Consider the following 26123-nt stretch of genomic DNA (forward strand, 5'->3'; position numbering starts at 1 on the left):
GTGCCTTCCACCTTGGTGAGGCTTTCACCTCTGCCTGGAATGGTCTGTCAAAATCCTGCCTAGGTGCATGTGGCAGGGTGCCAGCCCAGCATGCCACAGCTGACTTGCAAATCACAAGGGGACTAATTCTTCTATAATAAAGATGTCTAGCAATCACCCATCGATCCATCAATCCCATCCATCCAAGGAAAATTGGAGCAACTGGTCCATGTGAAGTGTACAGTATTACTCATAATAGATTCTTGCCAAGAGTATGTAGCCTGGGTCTAATCAAGCCTTTAGATCTAACTTTCGGTTTACAGGAAATAAATAGGATAGAGGAACAAATTAGATGACATCACAAGGAAATAACTAAATAACTAAATTAAGAATGAGAACACCGTATAAGACAATGGACTTGACTTTGCTCTTTTTTTTTTTTTTGAGGCAGAGTCTCACTCTGCCGCCCAGGCTGGATTGCAGTGGCGCGATCTCAGCTCACTGCAACCTCCACCTCCAGGGTTCAAGCAATTCCCTAGCCTCAGCCTCCCAAGTAGCTGGGATTATAGGTGCATGCCACCATGCCCACCTAATTTTTGTATTTTTAGTAGCGACGGGGTTTCACCATGTTGGCCAGGCTGGTCTCAAACTCCTGACCTCAAGTAATCTGCCTGCCTTGGCCTCCCAAAGTGCTGGGATTACAGGCATGAGCCACCACACCCGGCCGACTTGACTCTTAAGAAAGTTGAAGTCATTAAAAAATGTGCAAGTGGTCTGTGTAGACTCAAAAATACCCATATGCAGTGCATGAACCTAGATCGGATCCTCGTTCAAAAGATAAAAGCAAGGAGGGAATAAAGGAAAGAAAGAAGGAAGGGAGGGAGGCGCCAGGTGTGGTACCTCACGCCTATAATTCCAGCACTTTGGGAGGCCAAGGTGGGCAGATCGCTGGAGCCCAGGAGTTTGAGACCAGCCTGGGCAACATGGGAAAACCCCATCTCTACAAAAAAAAAAAGTACAGTAATTAGCCAGGCATGGTGGCGTGAGCCTGTGGTCCCAGCTCCTCGGGAGGTTGAGCTGGGAGGATCGCTTGTGCCTGGGAAGTCGAGGCTGCAGTGAGCTGAGATTACACCATTGCACTCCTGCCTGGGTGACAGAGAGGGACCCTGTCTCGAAAAGATAAATAAATGGCCGGGCGCGGTGGCTCATGCCTGTAATCCCAGCACTTTGGGATGCCAAGGCGGGTGGATCACAAGGTCAGGAGATAAAGACCATCCTGGCTAACACAGTGAAACCCCATCTCTACTAAAAAAAAAAATACAAAAAAAAAAAAAAATTAACTGGGTGTGGCGGCGTGCGCCTGTAGTCCCAGCTATATTTGGGAGGCTGAGGCAGGAGAATGGCGTGAACCCAGGAGGCAGAGCTTGCAGTGAGCCGGGACGGCGCCACTGCACTCCAGCCTGGGTGACAGAGCGAGATTCCGTCTCAAAAAATAAAATAAAATAAAATAAAATAAAAATAAATGAATAAAATAAAAAAGAAAGGGAGTGAGGGAGAGAAGAAAGGAGGCAGGAAGAAGGAAAGAGGGAGAGAGGAGAAACCACAAAATACATTTTGGGGACAATTGGAGAAATTTGGGTATGAACTGGGTGTTAGATGACATACAGGAATTATTGTTAATTTTGTTAGATGGGATAATGATATTACATGTATGTAAGACAATAGCTTTATTCTAAGGAGATGCATGCTGGAATATTTAGGGGAAAAGTGTCAAGCATCTATAATTTACTTTGTAATGGTTTGGCTAAAAAATAAAAATAAAAAAGATAAAACAAATATTAAAAAATGCTAATCATTGGTGGTAGAGGTTTTGTTTGTTTGTTTGTTTGTTTGTTTGAGGCAGAGTTTCTCTCTTGTTGCCCAGGCTGGAGTGCAGTGGTGCAATCTCGGCTCACCGCAACCTCTGCCTCCCGAGTTCAAGCAATTCTCTCCCAGCCTCCCAAGTAGCTGAGATTACAGGCACCCGCCACCACACTCAGCTAATTTTTTGTATTTTTAGTAGAGACGGGGTTTCACCATGTTGGCCAGGCTGGTCTCCAACTCCTGAGCTCTGGTGATCCACCCACCTCGGCCTCCCAAAGTGCTGGGATTATAGGCGTGAGCCACTGCGCCCAGCCATTGGTGGAGATTTGAAAGTCTTTGTACGATTCTTTCTTTTGTATTGTTGAATATTTTCCAAAACAGAAATTTTAAAGAGACAAAGCAAAATTCTGCCCATCTTCAGATGGAAAGATCATCTCTCTCACCCACCTTTCTTGTTTCCCCAACAAGCATGCAGTTCTCCCTTCCTGCCCGAGCCCACAGCCTCTAGCCCTCTGGTAGGGCTGGCAACTTCTCTCTCCTACTGAGCTACAGCTCCTGGGGGCAAGGACTTCAGCTCACTTGCCTTTGTGTCCCCCATCCCACCACATTGCCTGGCACACACCGGGCTCAATAACAGATACTAATGCCTCCTGCGTGCCAGGCACTGTGAAAGTCCTTAGTTTTATTCACTGTCGTGGTGGCTTGATGAGGTGGCTGTTTGCATCCCATTTTACATATAGGGAAGCTGAAATGCAGAGAGAGGTTAAGTCACTTGCCCAAGGGAACACCCCTTATCCGTGGTGGAGTCCTGCTGATGTATTTATTTATTTTTTTTCAGATAGGGTCCCACTCTGTGCCCAAGCTGGAGTGCAGTGGCATGATCATGGCTCAATGCAGCCTCAACCTCCCCAGGCTCACTTGATCCTTCCACTTTAGCCTCCTGAGCAGCTGGGACTGCAGGCACAGGCCACCACACTAATTTTCGTATATTTTTTGTAGGGAGGGGGTTTCACCATGTTTGTAGAGAGGGGGTTTTGCCAGGCTGGTCTCAGATTCCCGGGAATCTGCCTCTGCCTCCTGCCTCGGCCTCCCAAAGTGCTGGGATTACAGGTGTGAGCCACCACATCCGGCCTGGAGTCCTGTTTAGCCTTGGGTCTGGCTAGCCTGAAAGCCTGGTTATTGTGTCCAAATTAAATCTAAATTCAGTTCTTAACATCCTAATGAGATAGATGGGGGTGATCATTCCCATTTTATGGGAGTAGAAGCTGGACCTGGGGAGGGTAGAGGGTGTCCAAAGGGTCAAATGAGGAAAAGCAGAGCCGTGCTTTGCATTTTCGCTTCTATTTTATGCCAGGCTCTGTCCCGTACCCTATGGACATAAACTCACTTAGTCTTCACATTGGTCCTCGCAGTGAGGGTGGAGGCAGGTGGTGGACCCTACTGGTCTTGAGCTCAGACCTCAGAGCCAGCTGGCTGGGACGAATCCAGGATCCCTCATTTCCTGGCTGGTGAACCTAAGAAAATGTCTTTTTTTTTTTTTTTTTTTAGACAGAGTCTCACTCTGTCACCCAGGCTAGAGTGCAGTGGCGTGATCTTGGCTCACTGCAACCCTCTGCCTCCCAGGTTCAAGCGATTCTCCTGCCTCAGCCTCCCAAGTAGCTGGGATTACAGGTGTGCACCACACCCAGCTAATTTTTGTATTTTTAGTAGAGACGAGGTTTCACCGTGTTGGCCAGGCTGGCCTCGAACTCCTGACCTCAGGTGATCCACCCACCTCAGCCTCCCAAAGTGCTGGGATTACAGGCGTGAGCCATCGCACTCGGCCTCCTCCTCTGTTCTTACATGAACAGAGCAGAAAGAACACGACCTCAGTTTTTATCCCTCCTTGTCCCTCTCTGGGCCTCAGTTTCACCAGTTATAAAAAGAGGGATTGGACATTGGGAATGAGAAGGCTACTAGCTTCCCATGTGCACAGGCCAGGACAGATTCTCTGAGCATGAGTGGACCTTGGCTCCTGCCAAGGGTGTTCCGCTACTTCAAGAAGTATCTAGCCTCCTAACCCCTAACCCCATGCACCAGGCAGCCCATTGGGTTGGGTGGGGGGGCGGGGGGGGGTGGTTGAGGAGAGAGAGGTCCCTGGCCTTGGGATCTGTGGCCCCTCTGCCCAGCCCAACTGGCTCATAGCGTGGGATGCTGGCTCCACAACTGGTTTCCCTCAGATTGGCAGCCTGGAGACACCAGTACAGCTCAGTCCTATACCAAGGCAGAGCTGCTGACTCTTCTGGAGTCTCAGGGATTGTTGCCACTGCCTTTAGGGAAGGCTGCCATGAAGGCAGACTGTGTTCTAATGTGCTCCCAAGGCTGGCAAGCCTCTGCACCCTTCGGTGAGAGCCTGTTGGAGGGCCGGTGCTGGGAAGCCCTCTCCCCATTGCACTAGCCCAATGCTCTCTTTGGGCAGATAGAGAACTCAGGCCCCACGAGAGGCAAGCCTTATCCAAGCCACGGCTACAGAGTTGAGGAGCCAAGAGCCACAGAGTTATCGGGGATGGGTTGGCAGCCACCTTGTTCTTTGGGCTAACAGGGGCCAGAGCAGAGGTGGGAGTGGGTGCAAAGCAGGGAGCGGGAGACCGGGAGGTGGAGGCAGGGAGGCCAGGGCTCTCTCCTGGGTCCTGAGCTGTCCACATTCTGCTCATCATGGTGGTGGGAGGGGAGTTCTCCACTCTGATGCTGTGGATAACCTGGGGTGGCTCCGGGCCTCAGTTTCCCCATCTATCCATATGAAGTTGGACTCAATCCTTCTTTCAGCAGACCCTGCACCAAGCCCCTGCTGACTTCAGGCTCCCTGCTGGGCTCTGGAGATGCATAGATCAACAAGGTCCCCCAGGAGCTTGGGATTCTAAGAGGGGAAATTTAGGGGTCCATCCTGATGTGGGCGAGGCATTCTCTGGATCAAAGAAGAGCTTGTCAGACCCAGGATGGAGGGGCCCTGAGTCTCTCCCGGCCCCTTGGCGCCCCGCTCTCTATTCCACGGCCTGCTGGCCTTTTGTGTGTTGCCCACTTAGGATCAAGGGCCCCAGGCCAGATCCTAGGGCATGTTCCCAGCTTGTGGCAGGAGAGGAGGCCTTTGTACCCAGGCAGGCCCAGTCCAGCCTCCCGGGGAAGGTCCCAGTATGACAAGCCTAGGATGGTGAGAAGCCCAGGGACACAAAGCCGGCTTGGTTCCTTGGCAACATCCTGAGGAATCCAGCGGCTGCACACTGGCTCCCTTCCTCTCCCCTCCCACCCTCCTGCCTGCGGGGGCTGGAGGCGGAGGCAGCCAACCCCATTATAAAAAGCCACAGATCTCTGGCGGCGGCAAGGGGACAGCACTGAGCTCTGCCGCCTGGCTCTAGCCGCCTGCCTGGCCCCCGCCGGGACTCTTGCCCACCCTCAGCCATGGCTCCGATATCTCTGTCGTGGCTGCTCCGCTTGGCCACCTTCTGCCATCTGACTGTCCTGCTGGCTGGTAAGTGGGGCTTGACTTGGGCACAAACAGGGTAGGGAGCCCCCAGCCCCTTGTCTATCCCTCAAGCCTGACATCAGGGGCCCCAGACCCTGCCTGGGTAAAGCTCAAGGCCGGTGGCAGCCGCTTCCCCAGGGATGTGCGAGAGGGGGCTGGGCACCTCGCTTCCCCCAGATGCAGCGCTGGACAGATTTCCAGTTGCCAGCGACCGCCCTGCCTGGCCCAGCGAGCAAAGTGGCTGTGCCTGGAAGCACAGAGAGGTGGTGTGGGTGGCATAAGGGAGCCAGGTGTGGGTGTGCCAGGAGGGCGGGGGTGGAGAGAGCCTGCAGAAGCTCCTGCTGGGCACTGGGGTGGGAGGCCCTGGCTGACAGTGGCTGGCTCTTTCCATCAAGCGTTAATGTGTAACCCGCAGCCCTGGCCCTGGGCCAGGCCACAGTTGGGACTTTCTCCTGTCCTGTTTTCAAAGCCCCCAGGATTAGGGGGCCCAGGACCAGTGAAGGTCAAGGTCACTGCAGCTCATGGTTGGGGCTTGCCACTGCTGTGCTAGTCTATAGCCCCAGTTGCTCTGCCTGTGTCTACCCGTCATGCTGTCTTCCTCCTCCAAGCACAGTGTAGAAAATGCTTTTGCCTCTAGTCACTTGCTTACTGAAGCCCAGGACCTGGTAGGGGTACATAATTAACCATCCTACCTGATATGGATAAGATGGAGGCCCAGAGAGGTTTAGAAACTGGCCTGACAATGCACAGCCAGCAAGTAGGGCAGGAGAAGGTAAGACACATGGGACTGAATGCAGGAGAGAGCACAGATGCACACTCACCACCTCTGTGGGCCACATCACCTCCATGAACCGCTAGCCAGCCCCCTCCTCAGGGAGTGCCCCCACCATCTGGCAGGGTGACCTTCAGAGAAGGTGGGCACACAGCAAGTCTGGGAGAATGAGAAGTAGTCCCCACTGTCCAGATATTTCCATGGAGCAAACTCACCCTGGGGCAGGGAGCAGGTGTGTGGGTGGGTGGGCACGTGAGAGTGGTGGAGGCAAATTCCTGCTGGCTTCCTGCTGTCTGGGCTGGGGCCCTGAAGCCTGAGGTGTCTGCGGACAGTGAGATCTGGAAAGCAGGGAGTCAGATGGCGGCTGCTTTGCCACAGTCCTGTTATGTGACCGTGAGCAGGGTCTTGCCTCCTCTGGTCCCAGTTGCTGCATCTTTAAATATAGCTATTACCTCTCCGGTGGATTGGGGGAGGGTGACGAGGTTCCAATGCCTATGGAGGTGTTTTGAAGAGGGCGGAGGAGGAGGATTACTTTTACTAAGCTGAGAGAGGGAAGGGTCCTAGGCTAGGATGGAAAGGGGACACTGGGGGACCCTGGGTGCTCAGACTAGCAGCCTGAGGCTTTAGAACCAGGCTTCTGCCCTCATCTTGGTCATTGGCTTTACTGGAAGATCCTGGGCATTATTGGAACCTTTCTCAGCCTCACTTTCTCCTCCTGTAAAACTAGGCATTTGACCAGGCTCACCTTGGAAGTCCTCTCCCACGCTGACATGTATGGCTCTGAGAGGCCCTCGGGAGCCCCTGTAGGACAAGGGGGTGGTTTGGAAGCCAGAGAGACCCCGAGAGGAGGCTGGGGGGTTCGTAGCTGCTGCCCTGACTAGTGTGGGGCAGCTGCGTCAGTCCCCAAATGTGGGTTTGTGGGGCTGTGTCAGGCAGGAGGCTTCTGTACTTTATATAACAAACCTGCAGCTACGAGTCAGTGCAGAGCATTGCCCCCCCACTCCAAGAGCTGACGCATTCACTCCCACTCAAGTCCTGGCAAGAAAGAGAAAAAAAAACGAATCTGTTTTAAGCTCCTATAGCCTACCCGCCTCATTAGCAGTGGGGGTGGATGGGGAGGGCATGGGAGGATAAATTCAAGAGTGTCAGATCCAGGCCCCTGTCTAATTTAAATAAAAATTCCTCCATTTTTCTGTTGGTTAAGGTATTATGCCACAAAGCGCTTCCTTAGGCATTTTGTCCATTCATTCAACAAATAGTTATTGGACACCTACTGTGTGACAAACCTGGTTCTAGGTACTGGGGCGGCATCAATAAATAAAACAGCCAAGGACCTCAGCCCTCGAGGTGCTGTAATTCAACTGCAGAGGACACATAACACACAAAGTAAATCAGTAAACAATGTGGTCTGTTGGAAGGAGAAAAGGCACTGTGATAAAAAAATAGAGAGGGGTGGCTGGGCGCAGGGGCTCATGCCTGTAATCCCAGCACATTGGGAGGCCAAGGCGGGCAGATCACCTGACGTCAGGAGTTCAAGACCAGCCTGGCCAACATCATGAAACCCTGTCTCTACTAAAAATATAAAATTAGCTGGGTGTGGTGGTGCATGCCTGTAGTCCCAGCTACTTGGGAGGCTGAGGCAAGAGAATCGCTTGAACCTGGGAGGCAGAGGTTGGAGTGAGCCGAGATCGTGTCACTGCACTCCAGCCTGGGTGACAGAGTGAGAGTCCATTTAAAAAAAAAAAAAAGAAAGAAAAGAAAAGAAAAAGAAAAATAGAGAGGGGAGAAGAGAGGTGTTGACATTTTAAATAGGGGGTTAGGGAAGCCCACTGAGTAGGTGGCTTTGCACAGTTTGGAGCGGGGTGAGGGCGGGAGCCATGTGGATATCTCTAGAGCAATGGTCCTCAGTGAGTAATTTTGCTCCCCTATGGGCCATTTGGCAATTTCTAGAGAAATTTTTTACTTGTTACAAATATCCCAATGTTTTTGGTTCAGTTGAGCTACTCGCCTCTAGTGTGTAGAGGCCAGAGATGCTGCCAAACCTCCTATAGTACCCGGGACAGCCCCCAAAACAAAGAATTGTCTGGTCCAAAATGTCAGTAGTGTCACTGTTGAGAAACCTTGCCCTAAGGGAAAAATGCTCCAGAAGTTAAAAAATTCTTATTCTCACAACCACACTGTGAAGCAGGTATTGTCACATCCATTTTACAAGTAAGGAAACTGAGGCTCAGGGAGTCCGAGTGACTTGCTCAGGACACACAGCTGGGCAATGGCTCAAGCCCTCCCTTTATCACCTCATCCAGCAACCCAGGACATTTCCTGAGTCTCCTTCTAAGACCCTGGAAGACTCTTAGAAGTCCTTGAGGTCCAGCCTAAAGGAGAATTCCTCCAAGAAGCCTCCCCTGACCATTTGAAGTTGGAAGTGGTCTCTCCCTCATGTAAACCCCAATATGTTTGTGGTATGTTCTGGAACACTGTGTTTCTACCTGGCATCTAGGGTAGCCTAGAACAGTGGGGTGTTTAGGGGCTGAGTAGAAAACTAGCTCTGCCACCATGCAGCTGTGTGGCACTGGGCACATTTAGCCTCTCTTATTTCCAGCTTCTGCATCTGTAAAGTTGGGATAATACTCCCTTTGCAGGAATGTTGGGAATTAAAGAGAGCAGATGTGTACATGCTGGACACAGGGTCCAATACACAGTAGGTGTTCAATTAAAAAAAATAAATAAAACCTCTGATACTTTGTGTGCCTAATTTACCTGTCCATCAGGCTGGGAGCCTTCTGAGGCCAGAGGCATTCCTTGTTCATCTCACTGTACCTCACAGCACCCAGCACAGGGCCTGGCAAGAGGAACCAGCATTTGTTGGTTGACTGAATAAACAGAGTGATCTGATGGCATTTATTGGGATGGAAGCACTCTCTTCAAACTCAGCACCAGTGCCTATGGGAGAAAGAGCTCAAGGTTAAGGATAAGAGGGCCTGAGATTTTTGTATATACTCAAAAGTAATTCCAGCCAGTGTTGGCTGAATCAGGAAGTGGATGGATGGATGGATGGATGGATGGATGGATGGATGGATGGATGGATGGGTGGATAGATGGATGAATGGATGGATGGATGGATGGGTGGATGGATGGACAGATGGATGGATGGAAGAAGGGATGGGGAGGGGATGATGAGGGATGGATGAGTAGGTGAGATAAAAGGGGGCGGAAGATTGACAGGTGGTAGGTAGGGGAGAGGGAGTGGGTAGATGGATGAATGGAGATGAATAGGGGTTGGGCAGGAGGTGGCAGGTGGGCGAGGAATGGGTAGAAGATTGATAAGAGTGGGTGGACGGGTGGATGGATAGGTAGATAGATGCATTAAAGAGAGATAAGTAAACTGAGACTAATTTCATTCAATGAATATTGATTGAGTATCCACCTTGTGCTTGATGCTGGGAAACTATGATACCAAGACAGACAAGGTCCCTGCCTTCCTGACACTCCTATGACAGATAATATATGACTGGCTGGATGAGGCATTGTCTCCATTTACAGAAAGGAAAATTTCAGCTCTGAGAAGGGACAGGCTCCCCAGGTCAGTTAAACAATCTTCCTGGCAGAACCAAGAACTGAGCCGGGCCAGGACCATTCAGGGACCGTGGCAGAGGGTGGGGACTTTGGAGACAGGATGACTCTGTGGCTCTTTAAAGCCCTGGAGGTGGGCAATGGCTTTTCCCATCTTGGATTTGGGGAGCACAGAATGGACCTTCTTTCCTATCCATTGGGCAGCCTCCCTTGCCTCCTCCTGTCTCTGGTCACTCAGGGGCACCGTATTTTCTGGGGCTTCCCAAAGAAGACACCTGCAGGCCATTTTAGGGGACTGCCACCTGGCTCCACTCAATAGGGCCTGGGGAGGCTGCAGGTGAGTCAGTCTGAGGTTCCATTGCAGAAGGAGGGTGGCCAGCCCACACAGTGACTTTTATATCCTGGTTACTCAGAGAGAAAGGACAGCCCTGTGACCTGGGGAGCCCCTCCTGCACACAGCCCCCAACCCCCTGAAGCTACTAGTGCTTCTCCTTGATGACTCAACCCAGACCTGCCGGCCCTAAACCACCTTCCCACAAAGCAGGGTGGGCCAAAGCTAAGGGGGAGCGATGGAGAGAGGAAGCAGCAGACTCTACAAAGTCTCTCTGTGTGTGCAAGCGTGCATGTGCCTGTATTTGGGAAAGTGGTGTATGTTTGCATGGCCACATATATGTAAATATTTATGCATGAGCAGTTCGTGTTCTGGTGGAGCCCAGGGATGCCCTGGGGGTTTCCCAGGCTCTGAAGGGCTAGATAAGATCAGCTTGCTCTCTTGACTGCCCTGGTCTCCAGATGTTTGCAAAACCCTCTGGGGTCTTGCTTTTGCTGCATATAACCTTGACTCAGATCTGAAACTCAAGCTCTTCCTTGTTTTTTATACTCATCCTCCTTGAGCTCAAGCTAAGCAGAAGAAAATTTGCTGGAGATTATAGAGGAAGAGAAAAGGTGGAAATTCAATGTAAACAACTTCAAATGTTTATATCAAATAGTTGGGTTTATTTGTCCTGTCCCGGGGTTTCTCTCTGGTTCCACGTGACACTCAGCTACTGCCTGCCCCTTCCGCCCCACTCTGCCCCCACCTTATTCATACCGTCCATCTCCAACCCTCCTCCTTACTCTTCTTGCTCCAGGAATTTCAAATGCCTCTTCCCTCCTAGGCAGGATGACTCAGTACCTTTCAGCAACTGCTCTCGGGCTCATTCTGGCTCTCAGCAGCAGAACAAAGGATCATCTATTCAGCAGACCCCACCTTCCTTAGAAAGCAGTTGTACTTATATATTTTTTAAAAAGTTTATTGCTGGGCATAGTGGCTTACATCTGTAATCCCAGCTATTCCGGAGGTTGAAGTGGGAGAATCACTTGCGGTCGGGGTTCAAGACCAGCCTGGGCAACATAGCAAGACCCTGTCTCTTAAAAAAATTAGCCAGGCATGGTAGCAGGCACCTGTAGTCCCAGCTACTTGGGAGGCTGAGGCAAGAGATCTCTTTTTTTTTTTTCTTTTTTTTTTGAGACGGAGTCTTGTTCTGTCACCCAGGCTTTAGTGCAGTGGTATGATCTCAGCTCACTGCAACCTCTGCCTCCCGGATTCAAGCAATTCTCCTGTCTCAGCTTCCCGAGTAGCTGGGACTAAAGGTGCACACCATCATGCCAGGCTAATTTGTGTATTTGTAGTAGAGACAAGGTTTCACCATATTGATCAGGCTGGTCTCAAACTCCTGACCTCAGATGATCTATCTGTCTCGGCCTCCCAAAGTGCTGGGATTACAGGTGTGAGCCACCGCACCCGGCCAGGAGGATTTCTTGAGCCCAGGATTTTGAGGTTGCCGTGAGCTAGGATTATACCACTGCACTCCAGCCTGGGCAACAGAACAAGACCCTATCTCTTAAAAAAAAATGGCAGCGGGAAGAAATAAGGCAGAGGTGAGGGGATAGGCAAGGCCACAGGCCCGGTGGGGACTAGAGCAGGAGAACCTGCTCCATCACTTGCTGGCTGTGTGACCTTAGCAGGTCCCTGTCACTCTCAGATTCATCCCCCCTGCTGCACAATGGACCACTTAATTTTAAAAATTAACTCGGGCATGGTGGCTCACGCCTGTAATCCCAGCACTTTGGGAGGCCAAGGAGGGCAGATCACCTGAGGTCGGGAGTCTGAGACCAGCCTGACCAACATGGAGAAACCCCGTCTCTACTAAAAATACAAAATTAGCCAGGAGTCGTGGCACATGCCTGTAATCCCAGCTATTCGGGAGTCTGAGGCAGGAGAATCGCTTGAATCTGGGAGGCCGAGGTTGCGGTGAGCCGAGATCATGCCATTGCACTCCAGCCTGGGCAACAAGAGCAAGACTCCAACTCAAAAAAAAAAAAATTAAACTCTTAATATGTGCCAGGCAAAAAGAACTCTATAAATAAGAATTCACGTTTCTTATTCTTACAACAAGACTATGAGGTAGATGCTATTTTTGTTCCTATTTTACAGGTGGGGAAACTGAGGCATAGAGAAGTTTGGCAGGGGAGGGAGGCTGAGTCAAAGGCCTTGAAGGCCAGGGTGTACAGGGGATCAGTTTTGGCTTGGGTGGTGTGGCCGGGACAATCTGGCACGGGGTTGGGAAGCCAGATGCCCACAGACATCCCTGCTGACCAGGAACCTCTTTGAACTCAGGACAGCACCACGGTGTGACGAAATGCAACATCACGTGCAGCAAGATGACATCAAAGATACCTGTAGCTTTGCTCATCCACTATCAACAGAACCAGGCATCATGCGGCAAACGCGCAATCATGTAGGTACTGCCCTCGAGGCCTCTGAAATCCCCTTTGGGCCCTTGGAATATTCCCAGACCTCTGAGAATCTACGTCCACACCTCCGCTCCCAGACCTGGGCTCCCAGCCAAAGGCCTCAGCACACGCTTCTCTTGCCCCTGGCCTGCAGGCCACCTCACTGACCTTAATTTCTGTGCCACATGGCTAAGGTGGAGAGTGGCTTCCTGAATGGCCCAGTGTGGCTGGGTGGCAGCCACCCTGGCTTGTGGCCTGGAGCAGCCATGAAGGGTGGTAATTCCTCCTGGGCTGAAGCACATGTTACCCCACACTCGAACCCACTATATTTCATGGGGCGGTGTGGGTAGGTGTAAAGCATGAGGGTCTTACTTAAAATGCAGGTTCCAGACTCTAACAGACCTGATGCAAATCCTGCCTTCCCTCTTACTGGCTGGGTGGCCCTGCTTCCATTGCTTACTTTTTGCAACTTGGTTTCCTTGTCTGTAAAATGGGTAGCTAGGACAGGATGTAACTAAAGTGCTTGGCAAGGGCGCGGTGGCTAATGCCTGTAATACCAGCACTTTTGAAGGCCGAGGTTGGTGGATCACTTGAGGCCAGGAGTTCAAGACCAGGCTGGCCAACACGGTGAAACCCCATCTCTACTAAAAATACAAAAACTAGCCTGGCATGGTGGTGGGCGCCTGTAATCCCAGCTACTCGGGAGGTTGAGGCAGGAGAATCGCTTGAACCCAGGATGCGGAGGTTGCAGTGAGCCAAGATGGCACCACTGCACTCTGGCCTGGGCAACATTGTGAGACTCCATCTCAAAAAAAAGAAAAAGACAAAGAAAAGTAAATAAAGTGCCTGGCAGGGTGCTGTCAGTAGGAGCTGCAGAAATCACTATCTCCATTGGACAGACAGGAAACGACCATTTCGAGACTTTGGGGAGGGATTGAGCCATTGTAACCCTGGCTGTTGAAGACCCTGGCAATCTTGGTCACTTGCTCCTCCTGGGGGCTCTCTTGGGTCCTGTCTAACCAGCCAGCCCTGAGGCCTTTCCCCAGGACTGACTTTTGGGACCTAAAGCAGCCTCAGCCAGACCTAGAGGCCGGGCAGCAGGAAATGGCCAATGGCCCTTTGCTTTCTAGGCCCAGCTAAAGGAAGTCTGGCACTTCCTCTCCTCAATTATGCAGTTTCTAAGGTGGGCAAGGTACTGAGTGTGCTCCTGCCGGACCTCTTTGCTGATCAGTCAAGGCTTACTTCTCCAAGACACCCCCAAGTATTTTTTGTTTTCTAGATGAAGGGGAAGAAGGAAGTTGGGGAGGGGATCACTGTGCCCAGGGGGCCTGCAGGGTCATACTTGCTTCCTGGACTTCTCTGGTTTCCCGGCATCCTGGAGCCAGATGCCTTTACTTCACCTCTCTGAGCCTTGGTTTCCTCATCTGTAAAATGGGGATGAGCCTGGTAGCCACCTTGTGGAATGGATGTAAGGTTTAGACATGGGCAAAATGCCAAGCACAGGCCGTGGCATGGAGCCAGGGCCTCTGTCAGCTCTGAGCTGTGGGCTTGGTGGTGAACTAGCCACACAGGGCTTCAGAGGAAGTTCAAGATTTGGAGGGCGCTCGGGATCCCAGTGAGGCTGCCACATATTTGGCTCTAGCCCCTTCTGCCCGTGAACACACATCAGGAGGGGAGGAGAGGGGCCCGGAGCACAGCCTGTAGCTGTGAAACCGAAGGAGAGGAGCAACAAGACTCACAAAGTCTCATAAGGCCTGTTCCAGAGTGAGGAGGCCCCATACAGAGCTCACCTGAAGTCCCCCCCAGCAGAAGACTCAAAGCCCAGAGCCCCCTGCCTTAATGGTAACAATATTATCGACATTGTTATTATTTTCAGCTATTACTGATCTACTCTGAGCTGGGTGCTTCACATAATTTACCTTTTTTTACAGTAACACAGAAGTAGGGTGATCAACTCGTCCGTGTTTGCCTGGGGACTTCCCCAGTTTTAAAATGGAAAGTCCCCCATCCTAAGCACCCCCTCCATCCCAATTTTTCTGGGATGGCTGGTCACCCTACAGATGGGAGGCTTTCCTATCTCCATTTCTAGGGTGAGGACCTGGATGCTCAGGAGAGCGGGTTGCCCCAGCTGGTCAGTTGCCTCACAGACGCTAAGTGGGAGGACAGGGTTTCCAGCCGGGTGTGTTCACCTGCAGAGTATTGGTGCTGTGCCCCCACACCACGCTGGCCCGGGTTTCTGGTATCTGGGCATAACCGAATCCCTGTCTTCCTCCCTTGTAGCTTGGAGACGAGACAGCACAGGCTGTTCTGTGCCGACCCGAAGGAGCAATGGGTCAAGGACGCGATGCAGCATCTGGACCGCCAGGCTGCTGCCCTAACTCGAAATGGCGGCACCTTCGAGAAGCAGATCGGCGAGGTGAAGCCCAGGACCACCCCTGCCGCCGGGGGAATGGACGAGTCTGTGGTCCTGGAGCCCGAAGCCACAGGCGAAAGCAGTAGCCTGGAGCCGACTCCTTCTTCCCAGGAAGCACAGAGGGCCCTGGGGACCTCCCCAGAGCTGCCGACGGGCGTGACTGGTTCCTCAGGGACCAGGCTCCCCCCGACGCCAAAGGCTCAGGATGGAGGGCCTGTGGGCACGGAGCTTTTCCGAGTGCCTCCCGTCTCCACTGCCGCCACGTGGCAGAGTTCTGCTCCCCACCAACCTGGGCCCAGCCTCTGGGCTGAGGCAAAGACCTCTGAGGCCCCGTCCACCCAGGACCCCTCCACCCAGGCCTCCACTGCGTCCTCCCCAGCCCCAGAGGAGAATGCTCCGTCTGAAGGCCAGCGTGTGTGGGGTCAGGGACAGAGCCCCAGGCCAGAGAACTCTCTGGAGCGGGAGGAGATGGGTCCCGTGCCAGCGCACACGGATGCCTTCCAGGACTGGGGGCCTGGCAGCATGGCCCACGTCTCTGTGGTCCCTGTCTCCTCAGAAGGGACCCCCAGCAGGGAGCCAGTGGCTTCAGGCAGCTGGACCCCTAAGGCTGAGGAACCCATCCATGCCACCATGGACCCCCAGAGGCTGGGCGTCCTTATCACTCCTGTCCCTGACGCCCAGGCTGCCACCCGGAGGCAGGCGGTGGGGCTGCTGGCCTTCCTTGGCCTCCTCTTCTGCCTGGGGGTGGCCATGTTCACCTACCAGAGCCTCCAGGGCTGCCCTCGAAAGATGGCAGGAGAGATGGCGGAGGGCCTTCGCTACATCCCCCGGAGCTGTGGTAGTAATTCATATGTCCTGGTGCCCGTGTGAACTCCTCTGGCCTGTGTCTAGTTGTTTGATTCAGACAGCTGCCTGGGATCCCTCATCCTCATACCCACCCCCACCCAAGGGCCTGGCCTGAGCTGGGATGATTGGAGGGGGGAGGTGGGATCCTCCAGGTGCACAAGCTCCAAGCTCCCAGGCATTCCCCAGGAGGCCAGCCTTGACCATTCTCCACCTGCCAGGGACAGAGGGGGTGGCCTCCCAACTCACCCCAGCCCCAAAACTCTCCTCTGCTGCTGGCTGGTTAGAGGTTCCCTTTGACGCCATCCCAGCCCCAATGAACAATTATTTATTAAATGCCCAGCCCCTTCTGACCCATGCTGCCCTGTGAGTACTACAGTCCTCCCATCTCACACATGAGCATCAGGCCAGGCCCTCTGCCCACTCCCTGCAACCTGATTGTGTCTCTTGGTCCTGCTGCAGTTGCCAGTCACCCCGGCCACCTGCGGTGCTATCTCCCCCAGCCCCATCCTCTGTACAGAGCCCACGCCCCCACTGGTGACATGTCTTTTCTTGCATGAGGCTAGTGTGGTGTTTCCTGGCACTGCTTCCAGTGAGGCTCTGCCCTTGGTTAGGCATTGTGGGAAGGGGAGATAAGGGTATCTGGTGACTTTCCTCTTTGGTCTACACTGTGCTGAGTCTGAAGGCTGGGTTCTGATCCTAGTTCCACCATCAAGCCACCAACATACTCCCATCTGTGAAAGGAAAGAGGGAGGTAAGGAATACCTGTCCCCCTGACAACACTCATTGACCTGAGGCCCTTCTCTCCAGCCCCTGGATGCAGCCTCACAGTCCTTACCAGCAGAGCACCTTAGACAGTCCCTGCCAATGGACTAACTTGTCTTTGGACCCTGAGGCCCAGAGGGCCTGCAAGGGAGTGAGTTGATAGCACAGACCCTGCCCTGTGGGCCCCCAAATGGAAATGGGCAGAGCAGAGACCATCCCTGAAGGCCCCGCCCAGGCTTAGTCACTGAGACAGCCCGGGCTCTGCCTCCCATCACCCGCTAAGAGGGAGGGAGGGCTCCAGACACATGTCCAAGAAGCCCAGGAAAGGCTCCAGGAGCAGCCACATTCCTGATGCTTCTTCAGAGACTCCTGCAGGCAGCCAGGCCACAAGACCCTTGTGGTCCCACCCCACACACGCCAGATTCTTTCCTGAGGCTGGGCTCCCTTCCCACCTCTCTCACTCCTTGAAAACACTGTTCTCTGCCCTCCAAGACCTTCTCCTTCACCTTTGTCCCCACCGCAGACAGGACCAGGGATTTCCATGATGTTTTCCATGAGTCCCCTGTTTGTTTCTGAAAGGGACGCTACCCGGGAAGGGGGCTGGGACATGGGAAAGGGGAAGTTGTAGGCATAAAGTCAGGGGTTCCCTTTTTTGGCTGCTGAAGGCTCGAGCATGCCTGGATGGGGCTGCACCGGCTGGCCTGGCCCCTCAGGGTCCCTGGTGGCAGCTCACCTCTCCCTTGGATTGTCCCCGACCCTTGCCGTCTACCTGAGGGGCCTCTTATGGGCTGGGTTCTACCCAGGTGCTAGGAACACTCCTTCACAGATGGGTGCTTGGAGGAAGGAAACCCAGCTCTGGTCCATAGAGAGCAAGACGCTGTGCTGCCCTGCCCACCTGGCCTCTGCACTCCCCTGCTGGGTGTGGCGCAGCATATTCAGGAAGCTCAGGGCCTGGCTCAGGTGGGGTCACTCTGGCAGCTCAGAGAGGGTGGGAGTGGGCCCAATGCACTTTGTTCTGGCTCTTCCAGGCTGGGAGAGCCTTCCAGGGGTGGGACACCCTGTGATGGGGCCCTGCCTCCTTTGTGAGGAAGCCGCTGGGGCCAGTTGGTCCCCCTTCCATGGACTTTGTTAGTTTCTCCAAGCAGGACATGGACAAGGATGATCTAGGAAGACTTTGGAAAGAGTAGGAAGACTTTGGAAAGACTTTTCCAACCCTCATCACCAACGTCTGTGCCATTTTGTATTTTACTAATAAAATTTAAAAGTCTTGTGAATCAATATGGGTGATTTCTCTGGGGACAAGTGCAGCAATCAGGGCTTCGGAGGGGAAGGAGTGGGGCAGGGCTGGGGGCAAGACCCCTTTCAGCCCCGGAGACCCCTATCTCCAGTTCACCTGGGGCAGAAAAGCAGACATTTTTACAGTCAGCAAGAGAAGAAGCACCAGGGATTAGAGTGAGGAGTGCCGAGCCCTCAGCCCAGCTCTGTTCTGCCCGGCTGTGTGATGTTGGGCCAGGGCCCTCACCTCTCTGGGTCTTATAAATGTGAGGCCTCTCCTAGTCTGGCAGGACTCAGAATCCCTCATGAAGCCCTACCCCATGCCTGCCGAACCACCATCCCAGGGGCCCTAGGACCACTCTCAGTGAACTGGTGCCCCATGGGAGGAAACTGGCCCATAGTTTCCTCTTTGTGGCCTTCCTGGTTCAGATGAAGATCAAAGAGGGATTACTTCTTAAGGGACTTGGGAGTTCATAGATGTGCCCCAAGTGTGAGCCTCGTGGTGGCCCCTAAGCTCTTCAGTGTTCTGGGAAGCTTCATAAGAGCTGTTGTGTACAGTTGTGCAGGTTGGAAACTGCGCAAGGCTGCCACAGACCAAGTCCAGCCTACTGGTATCCAATATTTCATGAATGTTAGGATGCATCCTTTTCACACTGTGACATGTGTGGAATTGAGACTCGTTTTGTAATCAATGGCTTGTCACAGCTTAATTGGCAGGCTTTTTTTCTTTATTAGTAATTTGTTAAATATCAGAACATCTTACCATCAATCGTATCTTAGATTCAATGTCTACATGAATGGTGTTTTTTAGTAGGCAGGTCCAGGCAGCAGCTGCCATTTGAGATAGAGCAGGCTTGGGTCAGCAATCCCGTTTCCTACCATCCCCTCCACCTCCTGGATCTCCTGGACCTTGTGGCCACATCAGTTACCATTTATCATTGCTTTTCTTTTGTTTTTCTTATAGTGAGGATATTTTTCTCTGAGCCAAGTCTCCATCAAAAGTAGGTCAAAGGCTGGCGCGGTGCCTCACACCTATAATCCCAGCACTTTGAGAGGCCGAGGTGGGTAGAGCACTTGAAGTCAGGAGTTCGAGACCAGCCTGGCCAACATGGTGAAACCCTGTCTCTACTAAAACTACAAAAATTAACCAGGTGTCATGGCACACCCCAGTAATCCCACCTACTTGGGAGGCTGAGGCAGGAGAATGGCTTGAACTTGTGAGGCAGAGGCTGCAGTGAGCTGAGATCGCGCCACTGCACTCACTCCAGCCCAGGTGACAGCGAGACTCCGTCTAAAAAAAAAAAAAAAAGTAGGTCAAGGAAAGCCAGACCATGATGGGCACATGGCTTCTCTCATACCCTGCTGGCTTCCCTTGTTTCACTACCTGCTAAACCTCATAGATTCGGGCTTGTAGGAATCACTCTGCCTCTGTGCAATGCTGTAAATTGCGGCTCTCCCCCTGCCGTGAGCTCCCCCTGCTCTGCCCCAAACTCAAGCTTGTGTAGCTTTCGCCCCTTCCCACCCCCAGGAAGGAGCTCCACCGCAGGCCTGGTTCCAGCCCCCAAACTCTCCCTGCACACCACCCACCAGCAACACAAGACACCAACAGAGGCTTTGAAATGAAAAGATGTGTCTCTGTCTTTTCATCACATTCTTAGGTAAGATTGCAACCTTCTCAGCAGGCTCAGGATGAGAAGTAGGAGTGGGAGAGACTTGTATGCTGGCTCAGTCCAGAGCAATTCCCCAGGGATCCTGGAGTGTTTGTGTAGTTTCATTTTCTTTCAGTTTCAGAGCTAAATGTTAGCTGAAGCCATTCCCACAATTAATGCACAGTTTGAATGGGACCATTTTTTTGTTTTTTTGAGACAGAGTCTCACTCTGCCACCCAAGCTGGAGTGCAGTGGGTGATCTTGGCTCACGGCAGCCTCCACCTCCCAGGTTCAAGGGATTCTCCTGCCTCAGCTTCCTGAGTAGCTGGGACTACAGGCGCGTGCCACCATGCCCAGCTAATTTTTTTTTTTTTGTATTTTTAGTAGAGATGGGGTTTCACCACGTTAACCAGGATGGTCTTGATCTCCTGACCTTGTGATCCACCCCCCCTCGGCCTCCCAAAGTTCTGGGATTACAGGCATGAGCCACCACACCTGGCCCTTGACCTACTTTTGATGGAGACTTGGGCTCAGAGAAAAATATCCTCACTATAAGAAAAACAAGAAGAGCAATGATAAATGGTAACTGATGTGGGCACAAGGTATGGGGGATCCAGGAGGTAGAGGGGATGGTAGGAAACAAGAGAGCTGACCCAAGCCTGCTCTATCTCAAATGGCAGCTGCTGCCTGGACCTGCCCACTGTCACCCTGGGGGAGTACGGGTGTTATTATATAACATTAGTTATAAAATAATAGCAGACATTGTTCATGTAATGTTTACCATGTGCCAGGCAATGTGTGAAATTCTTTATGTACAATGATCCTCATCTTACTAGTGATGAAAGCAAGGCTCTCAGGTTGGGCGTGGTGGCTGAAGCCTGTGGTCCCAGCACTTTGGGAGGCAGAGGCCGGCAGATCACTTGAGCCCAGAAATTAGAGACCAGCCTGGGCAACATGGTGAAACCACATCTCTATAAAAATACAAAATTAGCTGGGTGCAGTGGCATGTGCCTGTAGTCCCTGTTACTTGGGAGGCTGAGGTGGGAGAATCACCTGAGCCCAGGGAGGTCAAGGCTGCAGTGAGCCATGATCATGCCTGTGCATTCCAGCCTGGACAAAAGAGCAAGACCCTGCCTCAAAAAAACAAAAAAAAAGAAACAGGGGAGACAGAGAGAGAGAGAGAGAGAAAGGGAGAGAGAGAGGAGGCAAGGAAGGAAGGAAGGGAGGGAGGGAAGGGAGGGAGAGGAAGGAAGGAGAGAGAAAGAGAAGAAAGAAAGAAAGAGATGAAAGAAAAAGAGGAAAGAAAGAAAGAAAAGAAAAAGAAAAGAAAGAAAGAAAAAGAGAGAAAGGAAAGAAAGAAGGAAAGGAAGAGAAAGAGAAAGAAAGGAAGAGAGAAAGAAAGAGAAAGAAAAGAGAAAGAGAGAAAGAAAGAAAGAAAAAGAAAAGAGAAAGGCTCTCAAATGACATGTGACTTGCTCAGGGTGAAGCAGCTTATAAGCAGCAGAGCAGGGATAGAACTCAAGGTCTTTCTCCAGAACTCAGCCTGAGCATTACAGAGAAAAGTGTGAGACACAGACTCTCAAAAGTGTAGGCTCCTGAGCCCCACTTCTGACCTGCTGAGTTCAGGCTTCAGGCGTGGGGGTCGCCCCTTCAAGCTGCACCATTCTCCCACCCCCGCCTCAGCCTCCTTCTCTCTCCTCTTCCTCAGTCCACCCTGCACTGCCTCCAAATTAGGGGATTTGATGCCTGTCCAAAGTTTTGGAGCCCACTGCACCGGACCACCGGCTCCCACCCCCCAAGGTTCTCAGGCCCTGAGCTTCTCACCCTCTGATCTTTGCCATTGAGTCCCCTGTGTCCTCTGTACATTCCCCAAAAGGGTGAGGCCAGACAGAAAAACACAGAAATGAATGGCTGGGAATTTCCTGCTTGAGGTTGAATAACAGGTGCCCGGAAGGCATGGTGTATTTGTGTGTATTGCGTGTATGTGTGTTGTGTGTGTGAGCATTATGTGTATCTGTGTAGTATGTGTGTATATGTGTAATATGTGTGTATATGTGTATATGTGTATTGTGTGCATGAGTGTAATATGTGTGTATATGTGTATATGTGTATCGTGTGTATGTGTGTAGTATGTGTGTATATGTGTATAGTGTATTGTGTAGTATGTGTGTGTATATGTGTGTGTGCATTGTGTGTATGTGTGTAGTATGTGTGTATATGTGTGTGTAGTGTATGTGTGTGGTATGTTTGTATATGTGTGTATGTGTATTGTGTGAATGTGTGTAGTGTGTCTGTGCATTGTGTGTATGTGTGTAGCATGTATATATGTGTGTATGTGTATTGTCTGTATGTGTGTAGTGTATGTATGCATGTGTTTATGCATATACGTATATGTGTATGTGTGTGCTGTGCATATGTGTGCATTGTACATATGTGTCGTGTATATATGTGTGTAGTGTATGTATGTATGTTTATATGTATGTGTGTATGTGTGTACTATGCATGTGTGTGTAGTGTGTGTATGCATGTGTATGTGTGTATTGTGCATGTGTGTGCATTTTGTGTATGTGTCGTGTATATGTGTGTATTCATGTAGTGTATGTATGCATGTGTTGTGTGTATGTGTGTATGCATGCATATGTGTATACTGTGCATGTGTGTGCATTGTGTGTATGTGTAGTGCATGTTTGTATGAGTGTGTGTAGTTTGCATATGCGAGTGTTTATGTGTATGTGTGTATATGTGTGTTCTGTGTGTATATGTGTCTGTGCTCTGCACATGTGTGTCTGTGTGTGTGCGCACATGCCCAGTTCCTCCCAGATGTACATAAGCGCTCAGGAGACCACCCGTGCCCTGTTCACTTCTGCTCAGACATGTGCTTTCCTGGATAAATAATGATTTAGCTGCAAAGACTTAAGAAAAGATCTACTGCCAGGCTGGCTTTCCTGAACTGGCAGCAAAGTTCAATGACTGAAACCCAAGCAGGATCTCTTTAATCATGCCAAACTGAGGTGGGGAGTGTGCCTCTGAACCCAGGAGAATTCCAGAGCAGCACATGTTTTGAAGAGATGCCCCTCTCTTACCTTCAGGGGATCCTGTTATCTTCAGAGGCCAGAATAGGATTATTTGCAATGAGCAATTTCTAGCAATGCAGGAGCAAAACATAACATGGGACTCCCTGGCTGCATGACTTTGGGCAGGTTACTTAACCTCTCTGGGTCTTGGTTTTCTCTGTTGTAAAATGGGAATAACAACAACTCATCTCAGGGGTGAAGGTATCATGAGATAACCCTTAAACATGTAGAAAAATGACATTCCCATAGTGAGCTCTCAATAAACAGACGTATGATCATGCAATAGATGTTTTCAAAGGGTTTGAAGTAACCTATTTATATTTGCTTTTGTTATTGGGTACCCAAACAAGACTATAGAATTATAAGATATCTATAAAGAAACGCAGTCTTCTTGGTTTTCAGTAAAGTAGGGTGAAGAAACATTATAGTGTCATTAACGAGAGCAGAATAATTTGTGACTGAGTGCAGTGGCTCACACCTGCAATCTTAGCACTTTGGGAGGCCAAGGCAGGAGGATTGCTTGAGGTCGGGAGTTTGAGATCAGCTTGGGCAGCATAGTGATACCCTATATATACAAAAAATAAAAAATTAGCCGGGCATGGTGGCACACATCTGTATTCCCAACTATACAGGATGTTGAGGCAGGAGGATTGCTTGAGCCAGGAGTTTGAGGTTACAGTGAGCTATGACTGCACCACTGCACTTCAGCCTAGGTGGCACAGTGAGACCCTGTTTCGAAAAATAAATAAATAAATTGATTAATTAAAAAATAATCATCTTAACTTGCATAATTTTTCCCTAAGCCCATAGATGCTGTTCAAGTTGATGTAGCTTTTCTAAATTACTTTTGAACTTGGTGCTATTGCTTGAATATGACTCCCAAAAGTTTGTGTGTTGGAAACTTGGTCTCCAATGGCGGCAGTGTTGAGAGGTGGGATCTTTTGATTGGGTCAGGAGAACTCTGCCCTCATGAATGAATTAATCCATTCATGGATTAATGGGCTATCGCAGGGGGGTTAGTTTTCACAAGAGTGTGTCTGTTATAAAAACCAGTTTCGCTCTCTCTTGTGAGGCTCCTCACCATGTGATACCCTGCCCCACCTTGGGACTCTGCAGAGGCCCCATCAGCAAGATGGTTCTCACCAGATGCAGCCCTTCAACCTTGTGCTCTCTAGCCTGCAGAACTGTAAGAAACAAATTTCCTTTCTCCATAAATTGCCCAGTCTGTGGTATTCAGTTAAGCAACAGAAAATAGGCTGAGATACTTGGTAAGGTCAAAATGCACAAATCTCAACTAATTAATTGTTGACTAGCAGGCTGACTTGGGACAGAAAGGAAAGTCTGTTTGCTTTCAAGAACTTGGCAACTGGAGTACTCAGTTTCCTGAATATTTCTGGCTTGCTGCCTCCTGAGCACTCGAGGGGACTGCTCTTCCTGAGCCTTTTGGGGTTTTGGTGGGAGTCAAATGATCAGTTCTGGCCAGTGAGCTGGGAGTGGAAGCAGCGTGTGCCACACAAGCTTCAAGCATTTAATTGCTGATGGAAGACCCACCAGAGCTTTCAGTACCTCCAGCACAGCATCTGACAACACTCCAGAAAATGGCTGGGTCCTACAGTGAGGGTGAATCAGAGCCTCCAGCCATGGAAAGAGCCCCAGCTAATCTATGTCACGAAGTGTGAGGAAGAAATAAACCTTCGTGGTTTAAGCCACAGAGAGTTTGAGGATATTTGTTATTGCAGCATATCCTAGCCCATCCTGATGGATACAGCATCCAGGAAGAAAAAATATGACTGCTTGGACTAAATAGGCATGACTTGTCTGTAATCTGCATGATGCTATTAAAAAGCTTGAAAACACCAGGCACAGTAGCTCACACCTGTAATCCCAGCACTTTGAGAGGCTGAGACGGGTGGATCGCTTGATCCCAGGAATTCAAAACCAGCCTGGGCAATTTGGGGAGACCCCATCTGTACTACAAACACAAAAGTTAGCCTGGTGTGGCAGTGTGCATCTATAGTCCCGTTCCAGCTACAGGGACTCAAAAAAAAAAAAAAAAAAAAAAAGGAAAGGAAAAAAAAAACTTGAAAACAAGCTGGGCGTGGGGGGCTCACACCCAGCGCTTTGGGAGGCTGAGGCGGGAGGATCGCTTGAGTCCAGGAGTTGGACAGCAGCCTGGGCAACATAGGGAGAGCCTATCTCTACAAGAAAAACAAAACAAAACAAAAACAAACAAACAAACAAAAAACAAGCATGGTGGCACACACCTGTAGCTCCAGCTACTGAGGTAAGAGGATTGCTTGAGCTTGGGAGGTTGAGGCTACAATGAGCCATGATTGTGCTGCTGCACTCCAGCCTGGGCAACAGAGCAATTCCTTGTCTCAAAAAAAAAAAAAAAAAGCTTGAAAACATGCTGTTAGCTGGCTCTCCTCTTCATCTCTTCATTCATCCTTTTTGCAGATGCTTGGAGGTCACCCTCAGCACGGCCCACTGTCTATGGTGTCTGTGGATTTATCTGGAATTCTCACTGAGTGGAGTTGGAAAGAGGAAAGGCTTTACAGTTTCTCTGAAATACGTTGGTGCTCGAGAGTTTTAATGGCTCGGATGTTGTGATGGTTAATGTTGAATGTCAACTTGATTGGATGCAAAGTATTGTTCCTAGGTATGTCTGTGAGGGTGTTGCCAAAGGAGAGCAACAGTTGACTCAGTGGACTGGGAGAGGCAGACCCACCCTCAATCTGGGTGGGCACAATCTAATCAGCTGCCAGCACGGCTAGAATAAAAGCAGGCAGAAGAACATGGAAAGACTAGACTGGCTTTGCCTCCCAGCCTACATCTTTCTCCCATGCTGGATGCTTCTTGCCCTCCAACATCGGACTCCAAGTTCTTCAGCTTTGGGACTCAGGCTGGCTTCCTTGCTCCTTGGCTTGCAGATGGCCTGTTGTGGAATGTCACCTTGTGATCATGTGAGTCAATACTCCTTAATAAATTTCCCTTTATATATACATCTATCTTTTTAGTTCTGTCCCTCTAGAGAACCTTGACTAATACAGATATGCTTCAGCAGACAAGGAAGTAAATAGGGAAAAGAATAGTAACATTATCCAGCCTCACCTCATTGCCAGTTGATCTGGGTCGGCCAGTTTTGCAAGCACCTCCTAAGCCCAGAAGCCAAACCAGGGTAACCTGGGCCTGTGGGCACAGGAATCAGGTGTGTAGGCACAGCTCTAGGGACCAGCAAGGGCAGTTTCTGTGTCTCAGCTTTCCTGGAGGGTTTCCATGGGTCAATTGGCTTTACCCTCATCCTCCTACTGCCAGTTCCCATCCTTCTCACCCTCTCCCAGCACATTTGTCCACAGATTTTTTTTTTTTTTTGAGATGGATTCTCGCTCTGTCACCCAGGGTGGAGTCCAGTGGCACACTCTTGGCTCACTGCAACCTCCGCCTCCTAGGTTCAAGCAGTTCTCCTGTCTCAGCCTCCTGAGTAGCTGGGTTTACAGGCACACACCACCATACCCAGCTGATTTTTTTGTGTGTATTGTTTTTGTTTTTGTATTTTTTGTATTTTTAGTAGAGATGGGGTTGGCCAGGCTCGTCTCAAACTCCTGACCTCAGGTGATCCACCTGCCTCCCAAAGTGATTGGTGCTG

General features: G+C 50.8%; 1 protein-coding gene across 2 annotated transcripts, besides 6 other annotated features; it reads left to right on the forward strand.

The window, feature by feature from the left end:
* Positions 1-5198: 5198 nt before the first annotated feature.
* On the forward strand, positions 5199-17753 carry CX3CL1 (C-X3-C motif chemokine ligand 1). Of its 2 annotated transcripts, NM_002996.6 has the most exons (3): positions 5199-5347; positions 12343-12463; positions 14739-17753. In NM_002996.6, the coding sequence occupies exons 1-3, from the start codon at positions 5278-5280 to the stop codon at positions 15739-15741; spliced, it is 1194 nt and encodes a 397-aa protein (NP_002987.1). In that variant the 5' UTR covers positions 5199-5277; the 3' UTR covers positions 15742-17753. The 2 variants fall into 2 exon arrangements, with proteins under 2 accessions (NP_002987.1, NP_001291321.1); NM_001304392.3 differs by lacking the exon at positions 12343-12463.
* Positions 11300-11880: an enhancer, noted in NCBI's record as "H3K27ac hESC enhancer chr16:57412503-57413083 (GRCh37/hg19 assembly coordinates)". NCBI's record gives its function as "activates a minimal SCP1, AML or CMV promoter by ChIP-STARR-seq in primed H9 embryonic stem cells {active_cell/tissue: H9 hESC(primed)}" and the evidence as "EXISTENCE:reporter gene assay evidence [ECO:0000049][PMID:30033119]".
* Positions 14034-14093: an enhancer, noted in NCBI's record as "active region_10891". NCBI's record gives its function as "activates an Ori minimal core promoter by ATAC-STARR-seq in GM12878 lymphoblastoid cells {active_cell/tissue: GM12878}" and the evidence as "EXISTENCE:reporter gene assay evidence [ECO:0000049][PMID:35858748]".
* Positions 14214-14263: an enhancer, noted in NCBI's record as "active region_10892". NCBI's record gives its function as "activates an Ori minimal core promoter by ATAC-STARR-seq in GM12878 lymphoblastoid cells {active_cell/tissue: GM12878}" and the evidence as "EXISTENCE:reporter gene assay evidence [ECO:0000049][PMID:35858748]".
* Positions 16421-17111: an enhancer, noted in NCBI's record as "H3K4me1 hESC enhancer chr16:57417624-57418314 (GRCh37/hg19 assembly coordinates)". NCBI's record gives its function as "activates a minimal SCP1, AML or CMV promoter by ChIP-STARR-seq in primed H9 embryonic stem cells {active_cell/tissue: H9 hESC(primed)}" and the evidence as "EXISTENCE:reporter gene assay evidence [ECO:0000049][PMID:30033119]".
* Positions 17112-17801: an enhancer, noted in NCBI's record as "H3K4me1 hESC enhancer chr16:57418315-57419004 (GRCh37/hg19 assembly coordinates)". NCBI's record gives its function as "activates a minimal SCP1, AML or CMV promoter by ChIP-STARR-seq in naive H9 embryonic stem cells {active_cell/tissue: H9 hESC(naive)}" and the evidence as "EXISTENCE:reporter gene assay evidence [ECO:0000049][PMID:30033119]".
* Positions 17221-17380: an enhancer, noted in NCBI's record as "active region_10893". NCBI's record gives its function as "activates an Ori minimal core promoter by ATAC-STARR-seq in GM12878 lymphoblastoid cells {active_cell/tissue: GM12878}" and the evidence as "EXISTENCE:reporter gene assay evidence [ECO:0000049][PMID:35858748]".

The sequence above is a fragment of the Homo sapiens genome, chromosome 16 (genome assembly GCF_000001405.40).
Source record: "Homo sapiens chromosome 16, GRCh38.p14 Primary Assembly".
In the NCBI taxonomy this organism is placed as follows: Eukaryota; Metazoa; Chordata; class Mammalia; order Primates; family Hominidae; genus Homo; species Homo sapiens.